At 39.5% G+C, this 22,443-nt stretch overlaps 2 protein-coding genes and 1 pseudogene across 10 annotated transcripts in view; 1 reads left to right on the top strand and 2 right to left on the bottom strand.

Annotated features, from left to right (window-relative positions):
- The window catches only part of ACE2 (angiotensin converting enzyme 2), an 89,015-nt gene that overhangs the window by 40,200 nt on the left and 26,372 nt on the right, over positions 1-22,443 (top strand). For 5 of the 6 annotated variants that reach the window (NM_001389402.1, NM_021804.3, NM_001386260.1 and 2 more), the window contains 3 exons: positions 643-759; positions 2,794-2,988; positions 4,999-5,979. In NM_001389402.1, the coding sequence (NP_001376331.1) occupies positions 643-759; positions 2,794-2,988; positions 4,999-5,107 (421 nt within the window). In that variant the 3' untranslated portion in view covers positions 5,108-5,979. Of the gene's footprint in view, positions 1-642; positions 760-2,793; positions 2,989-4,998; positions 5,980-22,443 lie in introns of those variants that run through there. The other variant, NM_001386259.1, reaches the window with a different exon arrangement.
- BMX (BMX non-receptor tyrosine kinase) overlaps positions 10,493-22,443 on the bottom strand; it is a 55,713-nt gene continuing 43,762 nt past the window's right edge. For 3 of the 4 annotated variants that reach the window (NM_203281.3, NM_001320866.2, NM_001721.7), the window contains exons 17-19: positions 20,091-20,209; positions 17,015-17,172; positions 10,493-10,939 (exon numbers count right to left, since the gene is read on the bottom strand). In NM_203281.3, the coding sequence (NP_975010.1) occupies positions 10,865-10,939; positions 17,015-17,172; positions 20,091-20,209 (352 nt within the window). In that variant the 3' untranslated portion in view covers positions 10,493-10,864. Of the gene's footprint in view, positions 10,940-17,014; positions 17,173-20,090; positions 20,210-22,443 lie in introns of those variants that run through there. The other variant, XM_017029752.3, reaches the window with a different exon arrangement.
- On the bottom strand, positions 15,091-15,204 carry HNRNPDLP5 (HNRNPDL pseudogene 5; annotated as a pseudogene).

The raw sequence follows: 22,443 nt of genomic DNA, 5'->3' as shown, positions 1-22,443 counted from the left end.
GTTAGGGCATAGAGGAAGGAGGGAGAGACAAAAGGTCATGTGGGCCTTGAAGGCCATTCTAAGGACTTTGGCTTTTATTCTGAGTTAGATGAGTAGTCACTCAAGGGCTATGAGCCACATGATCTACCTTATTTTGTGCTAGGATCGCTTGACAGCTGTGAGAGCACAGTCCTGTCACATCATATGGTAGACCCCACTCATTACCTTCATCCATGGGTGCAACACGACGTTTTCTGCTGGGTAGGACCAGGTTGTGGGTGTAAATCCGTGTGTGGTACTCAGCCATTTCTGCCCACCACATTGTTTGCCACAATCCTGGGCCACCGATTATTCCTTGTTGATTCTCCTGCTGTTTTCAGTTTGGAAATTTTCTATAATTGAAAAAGATGTGGGTTTTATATAAAGGCAGAACAAATAGTGCCAAAACTTGATATCACAATTTTTATGTAGTTGATTTCATGTGCTTTGGGCAGCATTAATGTTTTTTTTGACAATTACATCCTCTCATTGTTTGCCCTCCCCCATGTCTCTCTATCCTGTGATTCTCTCTCTAATCTCCTTTTCACCAGCAGGGGAAGTCTTCATTCTCTTGATTGTGTCCTCTGTGCCACAAGTGAAGATGTTTGTTTTGTTTCTCTACAGGGAGGAGGATGTGCGAGTGGCTAATTTGAAACCAAGAATCTCCTTTAATTTCTTTGTCACTGCACCTAAAAATGTGTCTGATATCATTCCTAGAACTGAAGTTGAAAAGGCCATCAGGTGACATTTTACTTTCATCTAAGGGTGAGGGGGTTACCAAATACAACAACAATAACCAGTATTTTGTGTGTTCTTCCTGTGTGCCAAGCATTATTCTGAGTCATTTACATGTGTTACCTCATGCTACAAACTCCACGTAATTCCAGAAGGATCCCACAGCAGGGGAATAATCTTGATTTGAGTTCCGCCAGATGTAGGCTCTTACAAAAGGGAAGAAAAACTATAGATTACATGTTATCAAGCAAGTTACCACTATGGGCAACTAGAGCTCAGTCCTGCTGGGAAATGTGGAGAGACTGTGTAGAATGTGCACCTGAATTGTCCCATCAGAGGGCTGAGGAAGCTGGGGTATTTATTTACCACCTCCCATCAGTTATTGGCTGAGAACTGCTTCCAGGTGGCATTAATTCCCCAGCATTTCAGCCCTGCAGGCAGGGCAGATCTTGTGGTCTGAGAATGCTCTCTGGTAAAGGGGAGCAGGTGCTGGTTGAAGAAAGTCTGGCTAGAACTCATGGAAAATAGTAAGTGCAGAAGGGACGTGGACAGGTATTGCCATCATTTGCTCTCAGGACTTTGATGTAGGATTCATTTAACTGCCCAAATCCTGAAACAAGGTAGGCAAGTACAGGATTCCTTACATATTGCTTGGCCTCTATGCTAGGTGAGGGACTTGCAATGAATGTTTAGAAGAAACAGTTTGTCCAATTTGCCTCAATTGTTTCCCACAACAGACAGCAGGAGCGAAGAATGGATTGACCTTGCAGATGGTTTCCTGTCATTATAAAAAGGCTTAATATACCTACTGCTTCTGGGCAGCTCACTAGGTGGCCCTCTCGAGCTGCGTCAGAGTCCTGTTTAACTTCGGAAGCAGATCTAAGACCTGCTGGGCAGGGTGTGCCTAGAAAATCTGGCTTGGTTGGAGTGTATGACCCAACTGTGCCCAGAGACTCACTCACTTCCTCCAGAAGACTTGTGTCTGTCTTGGGAAAAACTTCTGGCTGAGATCTTTATGAAAAAGCTCAGCCTTCCTGGATACTCAGCTGCAAGCTACAGGGGACCTCAGACTCTCTGTTTCCAGGATGACTCTTTTCAGATCTTTTCTGGCTGAGGTTGCCAGGGGTTACCTGACTAATTCTGCGTTGATCTCTCTCTCTCTCTCTGGTGGACTCTGACCTCCTGACCTGGGCTATACCCAAGGGTAGGAAGATGAGATGCCAGACACTTTGGTCTTTGATCCAGAATGTTCTCCATATCATTGTTTTTTTTTTTCTTTAAACAATCTTTATCCTTTTGCCTCCATAAAAGTAAGCCATTTCCCATCCCAGTGCTGAAGAAACTGGCAAAGGTCCCTTTCTTATGTGCCTCCCCAGTGCTACCTCCAAATGCCAATACCTTTTATTTGGAAAATACTACTATAGAGACTTGGTCATAGGACCTGATTCATTTGTATAATAGAAGAGGTGTATCCAATTATCCGTTTCCATTATTTGATATAAAGTCATTGTAGATGTACTCTGACAGAAGGGAAATTCTTGCCAAATATGATAACTTTGCCCTTAAACACAGCAGTCACAAATGAATAAATGCCAACCATTTATACATTTCCACACTTACAACTCAATTTTCCAATGGAGCTGTTGATGAACCTAATCTAGGTTGCAAGGCATGAAAGATGCATAATTGTCAAAGACTTATATCTTTAATTAGACCTATTTACTTTGCTCTTATGATTTTAGGTGTATATTCCTTTTTTTTTTTTTTGAAACAGAGTCTTGCTCTGTCACCTAGGCTAGAGGGCAGTGGCACAATCTCGGCTCACTGCAACCTCTGCCTCCCGGGTTCAAGCGATTCTCCTGCCTCAGCCTCCCAAGTAGCTGGGACTACAGACATGCGCCACCATGCCTGGCTAGGTGTATATTCTTATGATAAGCTCTATTATATCCTTTCAGGAACAATGATATAAACAGTAAATAACTACACACAATTTTATTTTGTCTAAGTGTCCCCTTTGCTGTTTTTTGCTTTTGCAAATAGGATGTCCCGGAGCCGTATCAATGATGCTTTCCGTCTGAATGACAACAGCCTAGAGTTTCTGGGGATACAGCCAACACTTGGACCTCCTAACCAGCCCCCTGTTTCCATATGGCTGATTGTTTTTGGAGTTGTGATGGGAGTGATAGTGGTTGGCATTGTCATCCTGATCTTCACTGGGATCAGAGATCGGAAGAAGTAAGTGGCCTTTCCTAGACTTAACTATCCAAAAATAGAAAGATTTAGAGAACAGTAACTGGAAAATTTTCAGTAAGTGGTAGATTGTATAGACCAATTACTTAGTTGGACAATTTTGCAACTAAATACTCTGATGCATTCCCTAGAAATTTAATAGATCAGCAGTTCATCTTCCTAGTAAGCCCACACAGTAAGTATCTGGCCTGGGATTTATTAGCATGCCCTAGTAAACTCCATCCCAGCCACAGTGTCATTTCCCTCCTACAAAGAGGCACTGCAAACTCAGCAGGTATGGGTGGGCTCAGGGAATGGTTTTCACTGCTCTCACTGCTGAATCCTTTTCAGTCTAAAAGTGGGGACTGGATTGCTGGAGACTGGATTGCTGATGGGTTTGAACCGTGAAATTGTTCAAGAATGGGCTGTGAGATTTCTTTGAAACTGCTACTCTTGGTTTTTTGTTTGTTTGTTTGTTTGTTTGTTTGAGACAGAGTCTTGCTCTGTCACCCAGGCTGGAGTGCAGTGGTGCAACCATAGTTCACTGCAACCTCGATTTCCCAGGCTCAAGTGATCGTCCCACCTCAGCTTCCTGAGTAGCTGGGACTACAGGGGTGTGCCACCACACCCAGCTAATTTTTGTATTTTTTGTGGAGACAGGGTTTTGTCATGTTGCCCAAGCTTTTCTTGAACTCCTGAGTTCAAGCAATCCGCCTGCCTCGCCCTCCAGTGCTGGGATTACAGGCGTGAGCCACCGTGCCCTGCCCAAACTGCTACTCTTTACTCAGCTTTATTTCTCACCGGGTAGCTCAGACTCTATGTCATTCTCTTAGTTCATGGTTAGGCACGTTCTAATTTGTTCCTGAACTGAAGATCAAAGTTCATTGAGGATTTAAATTACCAGAGACCTGATTTCTAGTCTTGCTTTGCTACTAGATGTTTTTCTTCTGTCCTTAAGAAATTGACTCTTGCTGGGCTTATGGAATGAAGGTTAATATTTTATAGCACCTAACAAAACTCTATGCACACCTCAGCTTGTTTAAACATATTCTTGATTGAATCTCTATATTTGCTAGTCTATTTTGCTCAATTTTCTTCACTATAGAGATTTTTCGTTTCTCCAAAATAGCTCCATCTAAAATATTAGGCATTCAATGTGTAATACATTCATATGGTTAAAATTAAAAAATACAAAGGTGAACATGAAGAGTCTTCCTTATTACCTTTTGCCTCCAAGTTATCTTCCCAAAGCCAAACAAAATTATCAGTTCCTTGGAGATACACACACACACACACACACACACACACACACACACACACAGTCTTTTTTCTTTTTTCTCAGACATATATATATATATATATATATATATATATCTCCTTTTTAGTATACAAATATATACTTTTTTAGTGTGTATATTTGTGTGTATGTGCATATGTATATCTCATTTCTTAGTATACAAATGTTAGCAGGCTATAAACAATGTTCTGCATATTTTGTTTTCCACTTAATGGTTTTTTTAAATTTTTATTTATATAGGTGTGATCCACCACACCCAGCCCACTTAATGTGTTTTAGAGATCATTACACATTAGTTGCACAAAAAACTTCTCCTTTTTTCTGGCAGTATAATTTCCCATTTCACGAATGGATTGTAATTTTGATAAACAGTCATCTATTGATGAACTTTTATGTTGTTTCCAAACATTTGTGTTTACTTAAAAAAAGTGATGGCTTAATATAGGTAATTTCCTGAGTATGCCAATATACCCTTAAGATGAATCCTAGCAGTGGGAAAGCTGGGTGAAAGCATACGTGCAATTGCTAATTTTGATAAATATTGCCAAATTGCCCTCAATAGCGGCTGTACCAATTTATACTCACATCAACAGTTTATGAAACTTCCTGTTCCTCCCTCCCAGCCTCCTTAACACAGATTCCCCTGAAACTTTTTGATTTTCATCAGTCCGATTGATTTTAACATAAGTATATTAAGGCAACCTTGCTCTATTTAACAGGAAAAATAAAGCAAGAAGTGGAGAAAATCCTTATGCCTCCATCGATATTAGCAAAGGAGAAAATAATCCAGGATTCCAAAACACTGATGATGTTCAGACCTCCTTTTAGAAAAATCTATGTTTTTCCTCTTGAGGTGATTTTGTTGTATGTAAATGTTAATTTCATGGTATAGAAAATATAAGATGATAAAGATATCATTAAATGTCAAAACTATGACTCTGTTCAGAAAAAAAATTGTCCAAAGACAACATGGCCAAGGAGAGAGCATCTTCATTGACATTGCTTTCAGTATTTATTTCTGTCTCTGGATTTGACTTCTGTTCTGTTTCTTAATAAGGATTTTGTATTAGAGTATATTAGGGAAAGTGTGTATTTGGTCTCACAGGCTGTTCAGGGATAATCTAAATGTAAATGTCTGTTGAATTTCTGAAGTTGAAAACAAGGATATATCATTGGAGCAAGTGTTGGATCTTGTATGGAATATGGATGGATCACTTGTAAGGACAGTGCCTGGGAACTGGTGTAGCTGCAAGGATTGAGAATGGCATGCATTAGCTCACTTTCATTTAATCCATTGTCAAGGATGACATGCTTTCTTCACAGTAACTCAGTTCAAGTACTATGGTGATTTGCCTACAGTGATGTTTGGAATCGATCATGCTTTCTTCAAGGTGACAGGTCTAAAGAGAGAAGAATCCAGGGAACAGGTAGAGGACATTGCTTTTTCACTTCCAAGGTGCTTGATCAACATCTCCCTGACAACACAAAACTAGAGCCAGGGGCCTCCGTGAACTCCCAGAGCATGCCTGATAGAAACTCATTTCTACTGTTCTCTAACTGTGGAGTGAATGGAAATTCCAACTGTATGTTCACCCTCTGAAGTGGGTACCCAGTCTCTTAAATCTTTTGTATTTGCTCACAGTGTTTGAGCAGTGCTGAGCACAAAGCAGACACTCAATAAATGCTAGATTTACACACTCCTTGTGCTTACTTATGTGCTGGGGCTTCTTTACGTTTTGTCTGCTTTTCAGTTCTATGAACAAAGTTATCATCTGAGTGTCTGGGGCTCCTGGCCTTCCAAATGTCTCGTGATGTATTGCAAATTCTCAGATTGCTTTATTGTACAAAGTAATTGTAAAACTAGTCCCAAAAAAGTTGTGTACAGAGTGTATACACCATCAGGTTAGGAACCAAACCTGATGCTGCTTTTATATTTCTCACAGTCACTACCCCAGTGTGAGCACAGCATTTCTTAGATACCTGAAGACTGGTTAAAACTAGATTAAATAGATTAACATATCTAAACTCTATGCATTAACTCATTCTATGTGGTGACCAGCATAATGTTACAATGACTTTGTACTTCATAAATTCTCTATGGTAATTGTGGATCAGTTAGCCAAGTGAAGGGAAGATGACTTTCATAATCTGTAAAATAACCTCAAAATAAGGGTCATTTGAGGCTCTTTGATGTCTTAATTATCTGATACCCAGGTAGCAGAGATAGAGTTCTTTGTTATTTTACGAGATACAATCAACATTTCGCATCACCATCTGCACCATCCTGCCATTCACTGGGCCCACAGCTTGGGGCAACATACAATATAATTTACTCCTTGGCTAAGCAACCATTTCATAGACAGTTTTTTCTTTTATCTTGCATATGTCCCATCTTCTCTAATATATCATGAAAATCTTCTGTCAAGCTACTGCTATCTAAACATCCTTTGTAGTTGCCACAAGATCTTTATGAAGTTCATAAACTTGGTTCAGCACAGTGCAAGAATAATTTCTGCAGGAACCAATTTCATCATCTAACACCTTCAAAAGAGCCTCCCCAGACATGGCAAAGGACCCATGTGCATGTGACATAGTGTCCAACTGTAACACAGAAAGAAAAACCTGCTTATTTCCGTAACTTAATTTTGGGGTTTTCTCCAGAACAGTCCTCACTGTGCCCACCAGGTAACGCTTGTGGTCCTTCTCCTGTGTAGCAGCATCCTCTGAAAGGATGGAGACTCTACAAAGAGGGACCGGTGCCTGGGCCTAGGATGGAAGCTGGCAAACAATGGCCCATGGGCCAAATCCTGCCCACCACATTTTTTTGTTTTGTTTTGTTTTGTTTTATTCTGTTCTGTTTTGAGACGGAGTCTTGCTCGGTCGCCCAGGCTGGAGTGCAGTGGCGCGATCTTGGCTCACTGCAACCTCTGCACCCTGGGTTCAAGTGATTATCCTGCCTCAGCCTCCCGAGTAGCTGGGACTACAAGTGTGAGCCACCACACCCAGCTAATTTTTTGTATTTTTTAGTAGAGATGCAGTTTCACCATTTGGCCAGGCTGGTCTCAAACTCCTGACCTCAGGTGATCTGCCTGACTCGGCCTCCCAAAGTGCTGGGATTACAGGCCTGAGTCATTGTGCCCGGCCACCCCACCACCTGTTTTTGTCTGGCCTGTGAACTAAGAGTGATTTTTACATTTTTAAGTGGTTGAAAAAAATTAGAATAAGATTTCATGATAAATGAAAATGATATGAAATTCAAATTTCAGTGTCCATAATAAAGTTTTATTGGAACCCAGCCACACCCATTCATTTTCATATTGTCTAGGGCTGCTTTCATGCTACAGAGCAGAGCTGAGTAGTTGAAGTAGAGACGGCATGGCCCACAAAGCCATTTACAGACAAACTTTGCCAAACCCTGGGCTATACGGAAGCAAGGATTAAATGAAACTGCAAATGCAAAAGGTCCATTGTGGAGCTCACAGACCAGAGAAACATAGTGATCAGGCCAGAAATGGCAGGTGCTAGCTTCCTCTTCTCTGGTGTCTCTCAATGAACTATTCTTCCTAATTTGAGAGCCTCCTCCCTCCACATTTAGGTAAAGATGGGGCCTTAGGTCCAATCTCTCCTCCTCATAAACCCACTCTCAAGATAGAATAAAAACTGAGAAACTCAACTTGCTAAATCTACTGTGTTGGAATCTTAATAAACTCAAGTAGATATGAGGTGAGTTTTGCCAGACCCTCTTGACTTTGTGTTTGACTTCTGGTAGGTCAGAAAATGCTCAGCAAGACGAGGGAGCATCTGTTGGATTTTACCTAGCAAGTGATTTATCTGAACTTGCTCTGCAGCCTGCCCTTTGGGAAAGTTTCTTACCACATAGTCTTCCTTTTTCTTCACTGCCAAAAGAGTGTAGGCAGACACTTGGTTTAAGATAACAACAATAAATTCTGCATATCACCACTAAACACAGTTATACAGCATTAAAAAATCATTGTGCACGTTTGAAATACTATGAATAGTGTTCTTTTACTTGGCTCCTCCTAGCATCACTGGACTTGTTTTCTGATAAACCTCTAGTGGTACCTTAAATTGCTGCCTGACTTGATTTTTGCAGCTAGGCTTCTAAGCAGGGCTTTGGCCTCTTTTCATAGTAAACAATTTTTGCAACAAGCGTGTATTTTGTTATAAAGAGGATTATTTTTAAAAGGTAAATATACAAAAATAAGAAGAAGAAAGGAAAAAAATCTTCGAGAGGGAGACCAGAAAGACCCAGCTTGTGCATGAGCTCATCCTCTGAGTGGGGAAACAGTCTTTGGTGCAGGAAAGGCTGGCACCCCCATCGGACTGTGGGTCCATTGAGAAAGAGGGTTTGGGTCACCTGTTCTTTCTTTTCTCTTGGGTAGGAAAGAACCTAGCATACAGTCAACACTACAAAAAAAACCCACAAAAATAAAATATACAAATGCCCTAGTGATTATTTTGAGTTACATTTAATTATAAATTGAGATTTGTGTACCTCTGTAAAAAATAGAAGACTGTTAACGAGTGTCAATTCTGTGTTGAAATGAAGGAATTATTAATGAAATGTCAAGAAACAAATAAGCAAGAGGGAGCATTGAAACTAGCTGGTGGCTGAAGGACAGAGTGGGATGAGAGAGGATATAAGTGTCTCTGAGAGATTATTGACTGATCTCTGGAAAATAGCAGCAGGGTTTAATTGGGGTGTCTCTTCATTGTAATGGTGCCCTCTACAGAATCTGTCTCTCCCTTCTTGACATTATAGAAAAGACAATGGAATACTCAGAAAGAGGTTAAAACCTGTGGGTTCGGTAGCAGGCCGTGAAGAAGGGCATCCGCAGGTACTGTTTTAAAGGTGAAATACTATTTAGTAATAGGCATGAGAAGCTAAAATAGTACTTCTGTATTTTTGTGTTAAGATAGCAGACTGAAATAGAAACTTCAGTTATCAAACTAGCCAGAAGCCCCAGATCCCCAAACTCAAGGATTTAAGATGATTAGACAGATGGTCACCAAAATTAGTCCACAAGTAGAAGAATTTACAGCACCATGTCATACATAGTTCATCCTAATTTCTACCAACTTCACTGGGCAACAATCAATCGTTTTATTTCCCTCAATGACTCTTGTTATCTTCAGACCTGAAACTGATTCGGAGACCATGGGGCCCACAAACCTAATCAGAGTAACATGTGTTCATTGAGTACACATGTAGACATGAGAATCTCCACTTTCCCCTTTTTTCTCTTGGTAAAATGTTCACAAATGTTCAGGTAACACCTGCTACTCCAGCCATTCAGGCCTTAAATCTGCAGCTCTACATTTTGTATCCAGGTCTTGAGATTTGGGAAATAGAAAATTTTTATCTAAAAAATGAAAGTACTTTTGGTTATCAAACTCAGACATTGAAATGAACGTGCAGTTATGTCGTTCTCCCCCTTTAAATTATGTATTCATCTCTTGAAACTGTTCACTATTGCCACAAGTAGATATATATTAAACTAATAATACCACATTGGACACTATATCTCATACCCTAAACCATAATGATATATATCTAATCAATAACCAATGTTATTTCTTTAAATAAATAAAAATTTCTGACAAACAACTCTGTATCAGCCCACTCTCTGTCCCTTTGTTTTTGTCTTTACAACTCCTCTTGCAACTGCTGCTAATCAAAGTGTAGATTCCAGGCAACTTGAGTCTTTGCTCCCAGGTTATAATCCTTAAACTTGACCCAAATAAACTGTCTACTTATATAAAAAAAAAAGATGATTAGAAAGCAACAATGTAATTAATTCTAGAAATTGTACCTCAGCATCTTAAAAAATTTGCTTTATGTGAACATATTTAATGTATTATTTAATATTATTTAACTTTAGTTTTATACATGACATAAAGAGTCATTGTACTAATCTGGATATTAGACGAGAATTGTGCCATTTGGATTGGGTAATGGACCACCTAATGATACCCCACCATATAATGAGGTCCCCTAGGGCAGTTCAGAACAACTGCTTCAGTAACATCTGGGAGTTTGCTAAAAATACAAATTCACAGGCTGCACTCAGACCTCCTCCGCCAGGTTTTATGGAGGTAGTTTCTAGGAATCTTTTCATAAACTCTGCATTTGATTATCATGCCTACTGAAGTTTGAAAACATTGAAATATTAAGACAAATGTCCACATTTCTGTACTTGGTAGTATATTTAATTGTTGTGACAATGACAATATAAAGAAAAGAATGAATATCCAATAAGTAATTTTTCAGTTCTGCTCAGTCTTTACACATGAACACAGTCTCTATATTGCAGTCTGAAAATGTGCTTCTGCTATAGGCTGGAAAGTGTTATATCAGGAGCAGCATAAACAAAATTACTAATTTGATCTAAATTTCAAGGGAATCTTTTGTTTCCTGCCTTGTTCATTTCTAAATAATAGACAATACAGAGAACACTATTAAAAACTAGCTAAATTACATTATGCCTTGCTACTTTCCTTAAAATGAATGAAAATGCTGGCCAGCATCTATATTCATTCTTATCAGCACTCCTAATTTCTTCTTCAATGCTTGTCTTTTTCCCGAAGTGGTTCAATGGAAGACAGGAGTTGCTGAAATGTGGGACGCTTTTCTGGAAGCTAAACAAAAACAACAAGAAACCCAATGTTTTAGATGATGAGAGTTATGATCAATGATAAAATATATAAAATATTTACATCTAAGTCCTAAAGCTAGCAACTTTTAAAATGTGGAAACACAACAGACATTTCAATTGAGGTCAGAAATAAGGCAAGGACGCTCACTATAATAATCACTCTTAACATTATGTTGAAGGTGTTAACCAATGCAATTGGAAAGCAAGAACAATTAGAGCCCCAATAACTGGAAAAGAAAAAGTCTCTTTATTTGCAAGCATTTTAGTGTATACCTGGAAAATCTGAGAGTATCAATGTTAGAACAGACTTAAAGAATAAAGGAATTCACTAGGAGAGCAGGATATAAAATTAACATACAAAATCAATAGCCTTCACATATACCTACAGTAACCACTTAGAAGTTATCATGTAAGAGAAAACCCCATTTATAATAGCAACGCCACCAAAATAAAACACTAAAAAAGTGTGCCCCTCTAAAATGGGGACGACTTTAAAACACTGCTGAAAAATGCAAATGTAGACTTGACTATATAAAAAAGCATCCCTGGCCAGGCGCAGTGGCTCACGCCTGTAATCCCAGCACTCTGGGAGGCTGAGGTGAGTGGATCACTTGAGGCCAGGAGTTCGAGACCATCCTGAACAACATGGCGAAACCCTGTCTCTACTAAAAATACAAAAATTAGCCAGCTGTGGTTGTGCACAACTGTAGTCCAAGCTACTCGGGAGGGTGGGACATGAAAATCACTTAAGCCTGGAAGGTGGAGGTTGCAGTAGGCCTAGATCATACCACTGCATTCCAGCCTGAGTGATAGAGCAAGACTCTGTCTTAAAAAAAAAAAAAAAAAAAAAAAAAGCTTCCCTCGTTCTAGACTAGGACAAGTCAGTATCATAAAGATGTCAAATTTCCCAACTTAAAATACAAACTAAATACAATCTCCTCAAAAATATGAATGAGTTTGTTTCAAGCTAAACAAATTGATTCTTTGGTTTATAGAATTAAAAAATATGTAAAAATGGCTAAGAAATTATACAGTAAGGTGAGCAATGAGGGGTGCTAGCCTACCTAGTATTCAAACATATCATAAAGTCTCTACAGAATCAGAGCAGTGTGGTGCTAGCACATGAACAAAGAGACCAAAGAACAGAAGAGGAAGTCTCCAAATAGATTCAAGTACATATGGAAATTTAGTATAATATTAGGGTGGCATTTCACCACCATTAAGGTGGTATCTCATTCCTGATGATAAGATGGTCTTTTAATAAATAGGGCTGCCAACAACAGAATAGTCACATAAAATTATATATTTGGAGCCATATTTAATACCATATACCATAACAAACACAAACTATATCAGAAACATAAATGGAAAATAATGCAATCTTAAAAGTACTAGAGGAAAATCCTGGCAAAAGTCATTATAATTTGGGCATGAGAAAGCCTATCTATGACAATTTCCAGAAGCAATGAAAACAAATATTGATATATTCAGCTATATTAAGAAAAATTTCTGCATGGTCAAAAAAAGAAAAAAAAACCCACCCACCCTCAATCAAATAAAGCTGATAACTTAAAGTATTACTCTCCCTAATTTGTAAAGAGATCTTTAAAACCTGACAGAAAAAAGAAAAAAGACATGACAGTTCAGAAAGACACAAAATGACCCTTAAAAACGTGAAAAGAGGCTCAACCTCATAATGAAAGATATATATATTAAAGCTGCACTAAGATGCCATCAAGCTTTCACTTATCAGATTGGCAAGAATTCTTCAAAAGCTTGACAATGCACTCCATTGGTGAGGTTATAAGAAAATAGGTACCCTCTTACATTGCTAGTGAGGCAACGCCTATGGAGAGGAGAAGTTCATATGCTACTTTTTCTTTGTAAGAGAGAAAGGGAAGCAAGAAAACACACATCTATACATATGCTTGTTTTTGCATACAGAAATACCAGAAGGATGAATCAAAATCTAATGAAAATTGTGAATGTTCTTTCAATCTCTTTATGAATTGAGAAAGTCACAAAATAAAATCTAAAAAAGGAGGGAAAACCCAAATCTATAAGCTCTGCTCATTAGGTGCAATGTTTTAACTGGATATTGTCGTCTCAGTGCAAACCCCTCTTCACAGATTCTGCCACAATTCACATGCTTTTATGAACCAACCATGAGAAGAAGGCAGTTCCTCCCGACTCAGGGCCCCTGTCCATCCTATGGTGCAGTCATATTCCCAGGAGCTAGAGTAGGGAGGGCCAGGGAGGTTCTGGGCTTCAACTGAAAAACCCTTGTCTGCTCTTCTTCATCTGACAGGTGACAGCAGTAAGTCAGCCTGGCTGTGACCAACTCTACCCAGACCCAGTCTGACCCTCTAGTGCTGCCTGATAATCTTAGACACAATATTTTTGTTTGTTTGTTTCTTTAAAAAGCCTTTATTCATTTTTTAATCAGGGAAAAGGACAATCTCAATGTCAATTTGTCACCTAATCATAAATTTGAACTTACAGGATTCGCTACCCTAGACACTGCACCTACTGACAACACACAACTTAAAAATGAACTTCCTTCCATTCCCTAAAGTTAGATAGTTGCATGTTGAATGAATAAACAGAATCCCTTCCAACAGCTAACATTGGTACTTGGCCTAGGTGTAAGGACAAATAGCGAAACAGCAGCAAAAAAGACCAAGAGCATTGTAACTTGATAGCCCAGCAAGTACAATCATTGTAACAAAGTTGTAGGCACCAAATTAAAAAAAAGCGGGGGCTCATCAGCATAAGAAACTTACACCAGTTTTGTGAGAGCACTCGTTGTGTGAGATCAACTACTCTGCCTGTGAACACATATGCCAATCCCAGTAGCTAACATTGAGGCAAAGGTCCCAAAATCCAACTAACTACACTGAATGCAAAATCCAAAGCTTTTATTTATCCAGGTCCTCTGAAACCTGGATATAAAACAGTTTCTTTTCAATGCACCATGAGGGTCCACTGTAATGATTCAGTCACATTTGGATTGAGTAACGCACCTAAGATACCTTTTCCACTATTCCTGTCTGAATACGGAAATGTTTAACTACTCAGTTCATGCACTAACTGTGTTAAAAGTTAGATTTACTATCAAGACTTTTTCTAAACTCACACAGCATTAACAGTTAACTGTAATACAGCTTCCTCAGAATGCCCAAACAGAAAATATTTTGTTCAGTCTTGTGGTGGCTGTGAGAAAACAAAATACAACTAAATCTTATTTTGCCGCTATTTCAAATTTTAATCTAACTTTTGACCAAACTCATACCTTTCTGCCAAAATCCTTGAGTTATAACTACTTTCAATGCTCTTAAACCATAGCTCCTACCAGTTTTACAGTGCTCCTTCCTGTGTGCATCTGAATTTTTATCAAGAATTAAAGTCATGGTGTTATGATTACAAAGCTTTTTCTAGGTGACCACTGATTAAAGCCAAAGTAATTAACGATTCAAAGATGGCTTTCTAGAGACAGGAACAAAGCAAAAGGAGCTACTAACAATTTTATTACAATCCAGAAGAAACATGGTCTACTAGAAAGTTTCTACTAATCACAACACTTATGTCTTCCTCTCAGGACAATCTTCAGATAACCAGAGGGGAAAGAACATTATTCAAAAGTGTGGTAGAAACCTCAGTTAACAGGGAGAAGATGAAACCTTAAGAGCATAGAATACATCTACAAATCGGGGAAGAGGGTGACCCTGGCTGGCTATTTATAAAGGACCACAGTTTCTCCCTATGGACCAATACTCTCTACAAAATCAACTGTGCCTTAATTATTGCTTACTTTAAATTTTTACAGAGCTATGTAGTACCTGATACAGAAAAGCAATCACATAAGGAAGCATTTATTTGAAGTTTAACATGAAATCATACAAATAAAATGTGTATAAACAAATCCATATTGAGTCATAACACAGATAGCAAAGGACAAAGTAAAAACAAAGAAAACTAATTGGCAGCCATATACAGTTGGACACTGTGTCTTGTACACTAGAAAGTCTTTTACAAAATAATCATCTTAGATCAACAGAAGACCAATCTTCTATGTCATCCTGCAAGATGGGTTACTTTAACATCTCATCCTGTTTTCTCCAATGTTCTCCTTTAGTATGGCTGGTAATTGTTTTGGTGATTGCCACCCCCTCGAGATGCCTTGCCATAAGTGCTCTGTTGGCCACTGTAGTCTGCATATCTCTGTCCATATCCATAGTTCCCATAGTCAACATTTGGGGTAGAAAAAGGTGTGGAAACCTTATATACTGTTCCAAATGCCATAGGGTGGGAAATTACAGAGTGCTCATATTCCAGGTGATAATTTAAGGCTAAACGAAAAATATTGTTATGTGATGCAATCAGCAACTCTTCCAAAGTGGGACTCTAGGCTCCGGTACAAGAGTTTAGAAACTATTTAAGTTGTGTGCGTCAATTTATTCTTAGCACCAAGCGTACTGCCTGGTGCATAGATGCTTTGTAAAAAAAAAAAAATATATATATATATACACACACACACACAATATTAATAACAGAAAAACAGCACTGTGTACCAGGCATTGTCCTAAGGCCTTTATAATGCTAATTCATTCAATCCACCCAAAAATTCTATGAGGTAAGCATTACATTACAGTGAAGCACAGAGATAATAATAGGAGGTTTGTACAAGGTCATATAACTAGTAAGTGATCACGACAGGATTCAACCCAGGTATTCTGATGCCAGAACCCACAGGCTTAACCATTACACCAATTTGCCTTTTACTAGTGAATAAATGAATGCAGCATTAGGCCCTTTGCCATTGAGGAAGTACCATATAATGATTATGAACATGGGCTCTTAGAATAATGTTCTCAAAAGCCTCCTTTTATCATGTTACTGCTCAAAAGTCTTCAGTGGCTCCTCATCGCCTACAAAAACCAAAACTCTCACTTGTCTCCTTGTTATTCACTTTGCAGAACCTGAACCAGACCTACTCTTCCAAACTTATCTCCAGCCCTTCCAACGATAGCACCAGCCTAGCGTGCCATGCTCGTTCCTGCCTCCACACCTTTGCTTGTGCTGTTCTCACCTGGACACCCTTTTACAATGTCTCCACTCACATACTTAGGAAATTTTGTAGAGATTTCCTGCTTCAGCTCAGGTACCAATGCATTCAAGAAGCTGCTTTCTCTCAGGAAGCTGGTTTCTCTTTCCTCTGAGCGCTTCTTGTATTAGGTTGGTGCAAAAGTAATCACGTTTTTTGCCATTGAAAGTTATGGCAAAAACCTTGTCTTTCTAATTTGGGCACATAATTATAAACTGCTTGGTGTTTTCAGTCCTATTTGTGTGTGTGTGTGTGTGTGTGTGTGTGTGTGTGTGTGTGTGTGTGTAAAGACTTTGAGTTCAGTGAGGGCACAAATGGAGCCTCATACTTCCTTAACAACCTCCATTAGTTCTATGAACTTAGTGGATGCTTTGCAAATTAATCCCCTGAAGCTTCAGCTCCATGTCTTCCCCATAAGATACCCTTATCTTCTACCTGCATGGAATGCTTTTATTCAGTGTTTGGGAGGCAGGGGGAGAGAAGATGGGATAGTGTCCATTATGTGTTCTCTACGTGTGGTTAGATGTTTTCTGCTACTTATTTTCTACTCGAGGAGCTCCATAGTGTTGCAGTTAAGAACAGGGACGCTGGCACTAGCTAGTCTACTTCTTACTAGCTATGTGACCTTGGACAAGTCACTTAACCTTTCTGAGTCCTTGTTTACTCTTCTGTTAGTTTCAGCAATGATAGTACTTACCTCAGTGTGTTTCCTGATGCATAAGTAAGTTAATATTTATAGTGTTCTTAGAACACTGCTGTATGTAAGTTGTTCAGTAAATTGTTTGGCACCCGCATGTTTTAGATTACAAACATTTTAGGGCAGGGGCTGAGGACCATTCTCTCCTGCTCTGTACCAGTTGCTTTCCCTCAAAAAAGCTTTGTCCCAGTGGTGATGCAGTAATCACCCCGGATGTGCCTGAGACCCCTTCCAGCCCACCCAGAGAATACACTTGCCTCGTGCCAGCAGCTGTACATGATCTGGTAGATGGTGTCCGATGCCAGGTGGGGCCGGTAAAGCCTGTGGCCCTGGGAGACCTTCAGAACCACCTGGGAGTTGTCATACAAGTCATAGGGCTGCTTCCCCAGGCTGAACACCTCCCACATCAGGATCCCTGCACCACACCAAGAGGTGGCCCAGATAAAAAAGGAAGAGAGCTGTTATCAGAAAGTACAGGGTTTGTGGAGTGAGTTTCACACAACAGGTCAGGAAGGCTATGGGTCAGAGTGAGGGATCCCTGGGAAATGAGTCCCAGCGAAATGAGCAGAGCTTGGAAGGTGAGCCTGTGCCATTGCTTCTGGAGCCTGGGGTTTCTTCCCCATGTTCCCTGATACCTGTACATCTGTGCTTGCTGGAAAGTGGGTGAATGGCAAGGGCAGCCACAGAGGAACCTCTTGGGGCCAAGACACAATTCTTGCGCTAGTCCTGTGAAGTGTGAGTTGTCAGCCTCACAGTGACAACTACCTGTGTAGTGAGCCCCTGCCCCAACCCTTATGAATGAGTGGTTGATGTCCTCACCCATTCCGTCTCTCGGCTTTGGCAGCTGCATGCAACAATTTCATTGCACAATCAGATTACACTTCAGTGGAAATTTCAAGATAAAATCATTGACAACATTCTCCTTTCTATTGCTGCAGTGGTTCCTAATCTCATATGGGCCAGGCACCCTTTTGGGAATCTGATGAAAGCCACTGGCCGCCTTTGGGAAAGTGAATACACAGCATTTTTGTGTTCAGTTTCAGGATGTTCACAGTCCCCCAAAACTCATCCAGGAAATTGCAGTCCCCAGGTTAAGAAATCTCGGTTCTGGTCATGGTGGTCAGGAGGATGGCATTTGGGATCAGTTAGACATGGCCTTTGAAGTTGACTTCTGTCACTTACAGGTGGGATAAGTTTCTCAACCCCTCTCAGCCTCAGGTTCTCCGTCTATAAAATGGGGTATTTGCACCTCATGGACTTGCTGTGAGGATTAAATAGGATAAAACACGTAAAGCACTTAAAAGAGCACTGAGATGTTTCAAGTGCTCTCTAAATGGTGGCAGTTGTGCTGTGCTGGCCAAGGTCAGAAAATTTCAACAGTCAGCCAGTTTCAAATATTTATAATAAAGCAACCTTATAAATTTTATGGCTGCTTTTTTCTTTTAAATCACACAGTCTAAAACAACAATCCAAAAGAATGCAGTTTCCTCATAACTTTCTCTTTGGAAGGCTACACACTTATTTCAAAATATCTGTGGGGTTCTTCTTTGGGAATTGCTATCAGAGGCCCTGATTCATTTTGGGTATCCTCACTGGGATATATTGTTTAAGAATGAATTTAGTGTTTATAAACAGCTGGAAAATATCTGGGGCCAACTTCTATGGCATACGGTAAATAATCAAGCTGGGTAATACTATTTTTTGGTCAAAAACAAGCTGTAATTATTAAATTAGGGCATTGATTTTTTGCTATCACTTATAATTGATGCATGATTATCAAAACTAATTTTTTTTTTTTAAGACAGCCTCTTGCTGTGTCGCCAAGGCTGGAGTGCAGTGGCACAATCTCAGCTCACTGTAAACTCTGCCTCCCAGGTTTAAGCGATTCTCGTGCCTCAGCCTCTCGAGTAGCTGGGGTTACAGGCGCGCACCACCATGCCTGGCTAATTTTTGTGTTTTTAGTAGAGACGAGTTTTTGCCATGTTGGCTGGGCTGGTCTTGAACTCCTGGCCTCAAGTGATCTGCCCGCCTCAGCCTCTCGAAGTGCTGGGATTACAGGCATGAGCCACCGCACTCAGCCTCAAAACTAATTTTGACAACAAGGTACAAAAGTTAATCAGTACAACATGGCATCAAGTATTCACCAAAATGCTATCTTTGTGATTTTTTTTCTTTTTCTGTGTGTATTTGATTATCTTTTTTTTTAACAACGAACAATGCCACTTTTACAAAGGGAATAGTTAGTTTTAAAAATTGTGTCACATAGAGAAATAAATAACTAAATTTTCCCCTTTTCAAAGGCAGTCTTGTAGGTGACAAGCAGTAAATCAAATTACACTTATGAACTAAGGCATGAAATAGGTCTCAGTCACATTTGGATTACTTATCCTGGGTCCATCCGACAGTGATTGAAAATAGCCTTGATATTCTCACAACATAGAAAAAATATCATAAAATGTAGTCACAATTTAAGAATTGTTTCCCTTTTCTAATGACCTTTACTAAATTTTAATATAGATATTTTAGTAAAATAAGAGTCAGCAAACTTATCCTATAAAGGGCCACATAGCATTTTAGACTTTTTGGGACATGCAGTATCTGTGGCAACTACTCTACTCTGCTGTTGTAGCACAAAATGAGCCATAGATAATACATAAATGAATGGGCATGACTGTGTTCCAATAAAACTTTATTTACAAAAACCAACTGACCTGGTCCTGGGCTGTGGTTTGCCAATCCCAATCTAAAATATAAATTTTAACAGAGAGGAGACTACTTGAAACTAGGCACGAGTCAAAGAAAGTACCAAGTCATGTGTGGTGTTTACACTAAGAATTGGTCAGCGCAGAAGGGAATGGCTATCCCATTATTTTCATGCAGAAAATTGATGTCTTTTCAACGTTTGGGGCTCAGCAAAAACTCAGATTCAGCTTTCAATGACTCCTTTTAAAAAATTATTTGAAATCTTCACTGGAAAAACTTTCATCCCCTTTGATGTTTCTAAAGACAGGGTCTTAACTGTGTTGCCCCAGCTGGACTTGAACTCCTGGGCTCAAACAATCCTTCCACCTCAACCTCTGAGTAGATTTATCCCTTTTGATTTTATGAGAAAGTGCTAGCAGGATGTAAATTACAAGATGTGTAGAAGACATCCTAATACCAAACCCAAGAAAATAAATCACCTTCTTCAACAGCTTGCTTCTCTCAGGCTATATGTGTAACTTCGTAAGTGTTCAAGGGCCCTTTTAAAATGGACATTGCTACTCTTGTGGTTTCCTGTTGTGGAAGTAAGCTTATGAAACAGGGCCAGGTCGTATGTGGCCACATCCTTACCAAATGCCCATACGTCTGACTTGCTGCTGTATTTGAAGTAATGAAACACCTCTGGAGCTGACCACTTGACTGGAAACTTTGTTCCGACTGAACTGACATACTGGTCATCAAGAACATACCTGCCAGGGAAAACACATCAACACAGACCTTAAGCCGTGGTGGTACAGGCTGATGAAGGACACGGAAGCCACCCAGAGTCTCAGTCGATTGCCTCAGTTTTCTGGAACTTTTGTTTCCTTTCAATGTGTGGGCTTAGCTGGAGGCTGCTTATGGTTTGTAAGCATTTAAAAGATAATATCTAACTGAATACAGCAAAACCTCAATGCAAAATGTTTGGTAAATATAGAAAAACACAAAAAAGTAAAGATAAAATTACTCAGAAACCCACCCTAAAGATAACCTGTAATTCTATCACTCAAAATACATTTTTCTTTGTACTTTCTGATCTTATTTCCCACATATATAAGTTGAACAAAATAGGGTTTCTGTTATATTGAGATTTGCTTTTATTTTTCCTTTAATGGTATATCATGAGCATTTCCCCATACGGTTACATTTCTACTGCAGCATCATGTTTAGTGGCTGAATACCATTCCCTCTTATTATTTCTTCTTATGGAAGGAATTAAACATAATTTATTTAACCAGGTAAATTGCTACTAATCTTCTGCTGTTATGAATAATGATGAACAAAAATATCCTATGGAGATATCAAGACCAAAATACATGTTGAAGAATGTTCACTAAACTCTTTGTTTGTAATAATGATAAAATGAAAGCAACCTCAATGTTCCCAATGTTGAGGAGTAATTAAATATATTATGGCACACTCACACAATAGAATAGCACATAGCCATTCAAAAATGAGATAACTCTTCACCAAAATAAAAAGGTGCTCATGGTATATGGTTATGTGCAAAAGAAAGTGTGTATAATGTGATTCCATTTTTTGTGTGTGGGAACAAGTAGTAAATGTGCATATTTGTGTATATGATTGGATACACTTAAGAATGAGGTCTGAAAGGATACCCACCAAACATCTGAGCAGTGGTTACTCCTAGCACTGAAAATGAGGGACAGATTCTGTCAGAATAGGTAGCTAGGCAGACATGAGCAGGGCAGGAGAGATCCCCCACCCCCAACCCAGGAATATTAGGTGACCGTCAGGTAATAGTCAGGCAGTTGTTAACCGTCTCTCTAAAATAATAATTGGTCGCAGCTGGTGCCAGGGAACGGCAGTCTCCCAATAGATAGAAAATACTTGAAGCTGATGATCAACAGCTTCCTGATATGATCTCAGGAGTTGGGCAACTGGGGTCAAACATGCGCAATAAGAGGCAAAATAATGGAGTTTAACTGGTATATGACCTTCCTCTAAGAATACTCGACTGGTAAAAGAAAAATGCCTCAAATGAGCATGCGCACAACCTAAGTAAACACACTGTGCGTGCGGCCCCTCCCAAGTGCTGGCAGGCTACTGCTCATGCAGACAGCCCACCCCAAGGGAAGAATCAGGGGAGAAAAGATGCAAACTTTGGAATTATGCCAATGTATGAAACCCTAAGTCAAGGGCCAAGTAGGGCAGTTGGATCTCTCAAGTTGCCCTCTTGGCCCTCTTCCAAGTGTGCTTTACTTCCTTTCCTTCCTGCTCTAAAACTTTTTAATAAACTCTCACTCCTGCTCAAAAACTTGCCTCAGTCTCTCTCTCTGCCTTATGCCCCTCAGATGAATCCTTTCCTTTGAGGAGGCAAGAATTGAGTTGCTGCAGACCTTTACGGATTCACTGCTGCTAACAATTCTACTTTTTACTTTCTACACTAATGCTATTTTTCTTATAATAAGTACATATTATTTATAGTATTAATAAAAGAGAACATCATATATTTGCCCACAAAAACCACAACAAAAACAAACACATAATGACTCTTAATTAGAGAAAATAGAACAACAGGAGTTATGGCAATTGGAATTTTGGATATAATTTACACACCAAATGTTTTAGAGATCTCACTGTAATTTAAAATAGCTGGCTGGGAAGATCATCCTTCTAAATATTAACAATAATATTAATAAACTACACTTTCATAGGATTACATACAGTACATTCCATACTTTTCTCCCCAGAACCCCTCAGCTCCCCAGACACTACCAGATACCCAGACACTACCCTGGCACTCCTGGTTTGGGGATGCTCATGGCTTAAACCTTCCTTCAAGCTAGTAGGAGCAAATGAAGTCACAGGCATCTAATTGATGTGGCCACAGAGCTTCATAACCAACAGGGCTGGTACATGGCTTCCAGGATCTCTTACTCAGAGCAAGATCTCTTTTTTCTTTGGATCTTTTTTTGGAAAA

Source organism: Homo sapiens, chromosome X, assembly GCF_000001405.40.
Source record: "Homo sapiens chromosome X, GRCh38.p14 Primary Assembly".
Taxonomy (NCBI): domain Eukaryota; kingdom Metazoa; phylum Chordata; class Mammalia; order Primates; family Hominidae; genus Homo; species Homo sapiens.
The sequence above is the reverse complement of the archived record's forward strand: the minus strand, read 5'-3'. Positions and strand labels throughout refer to the sequence as shown.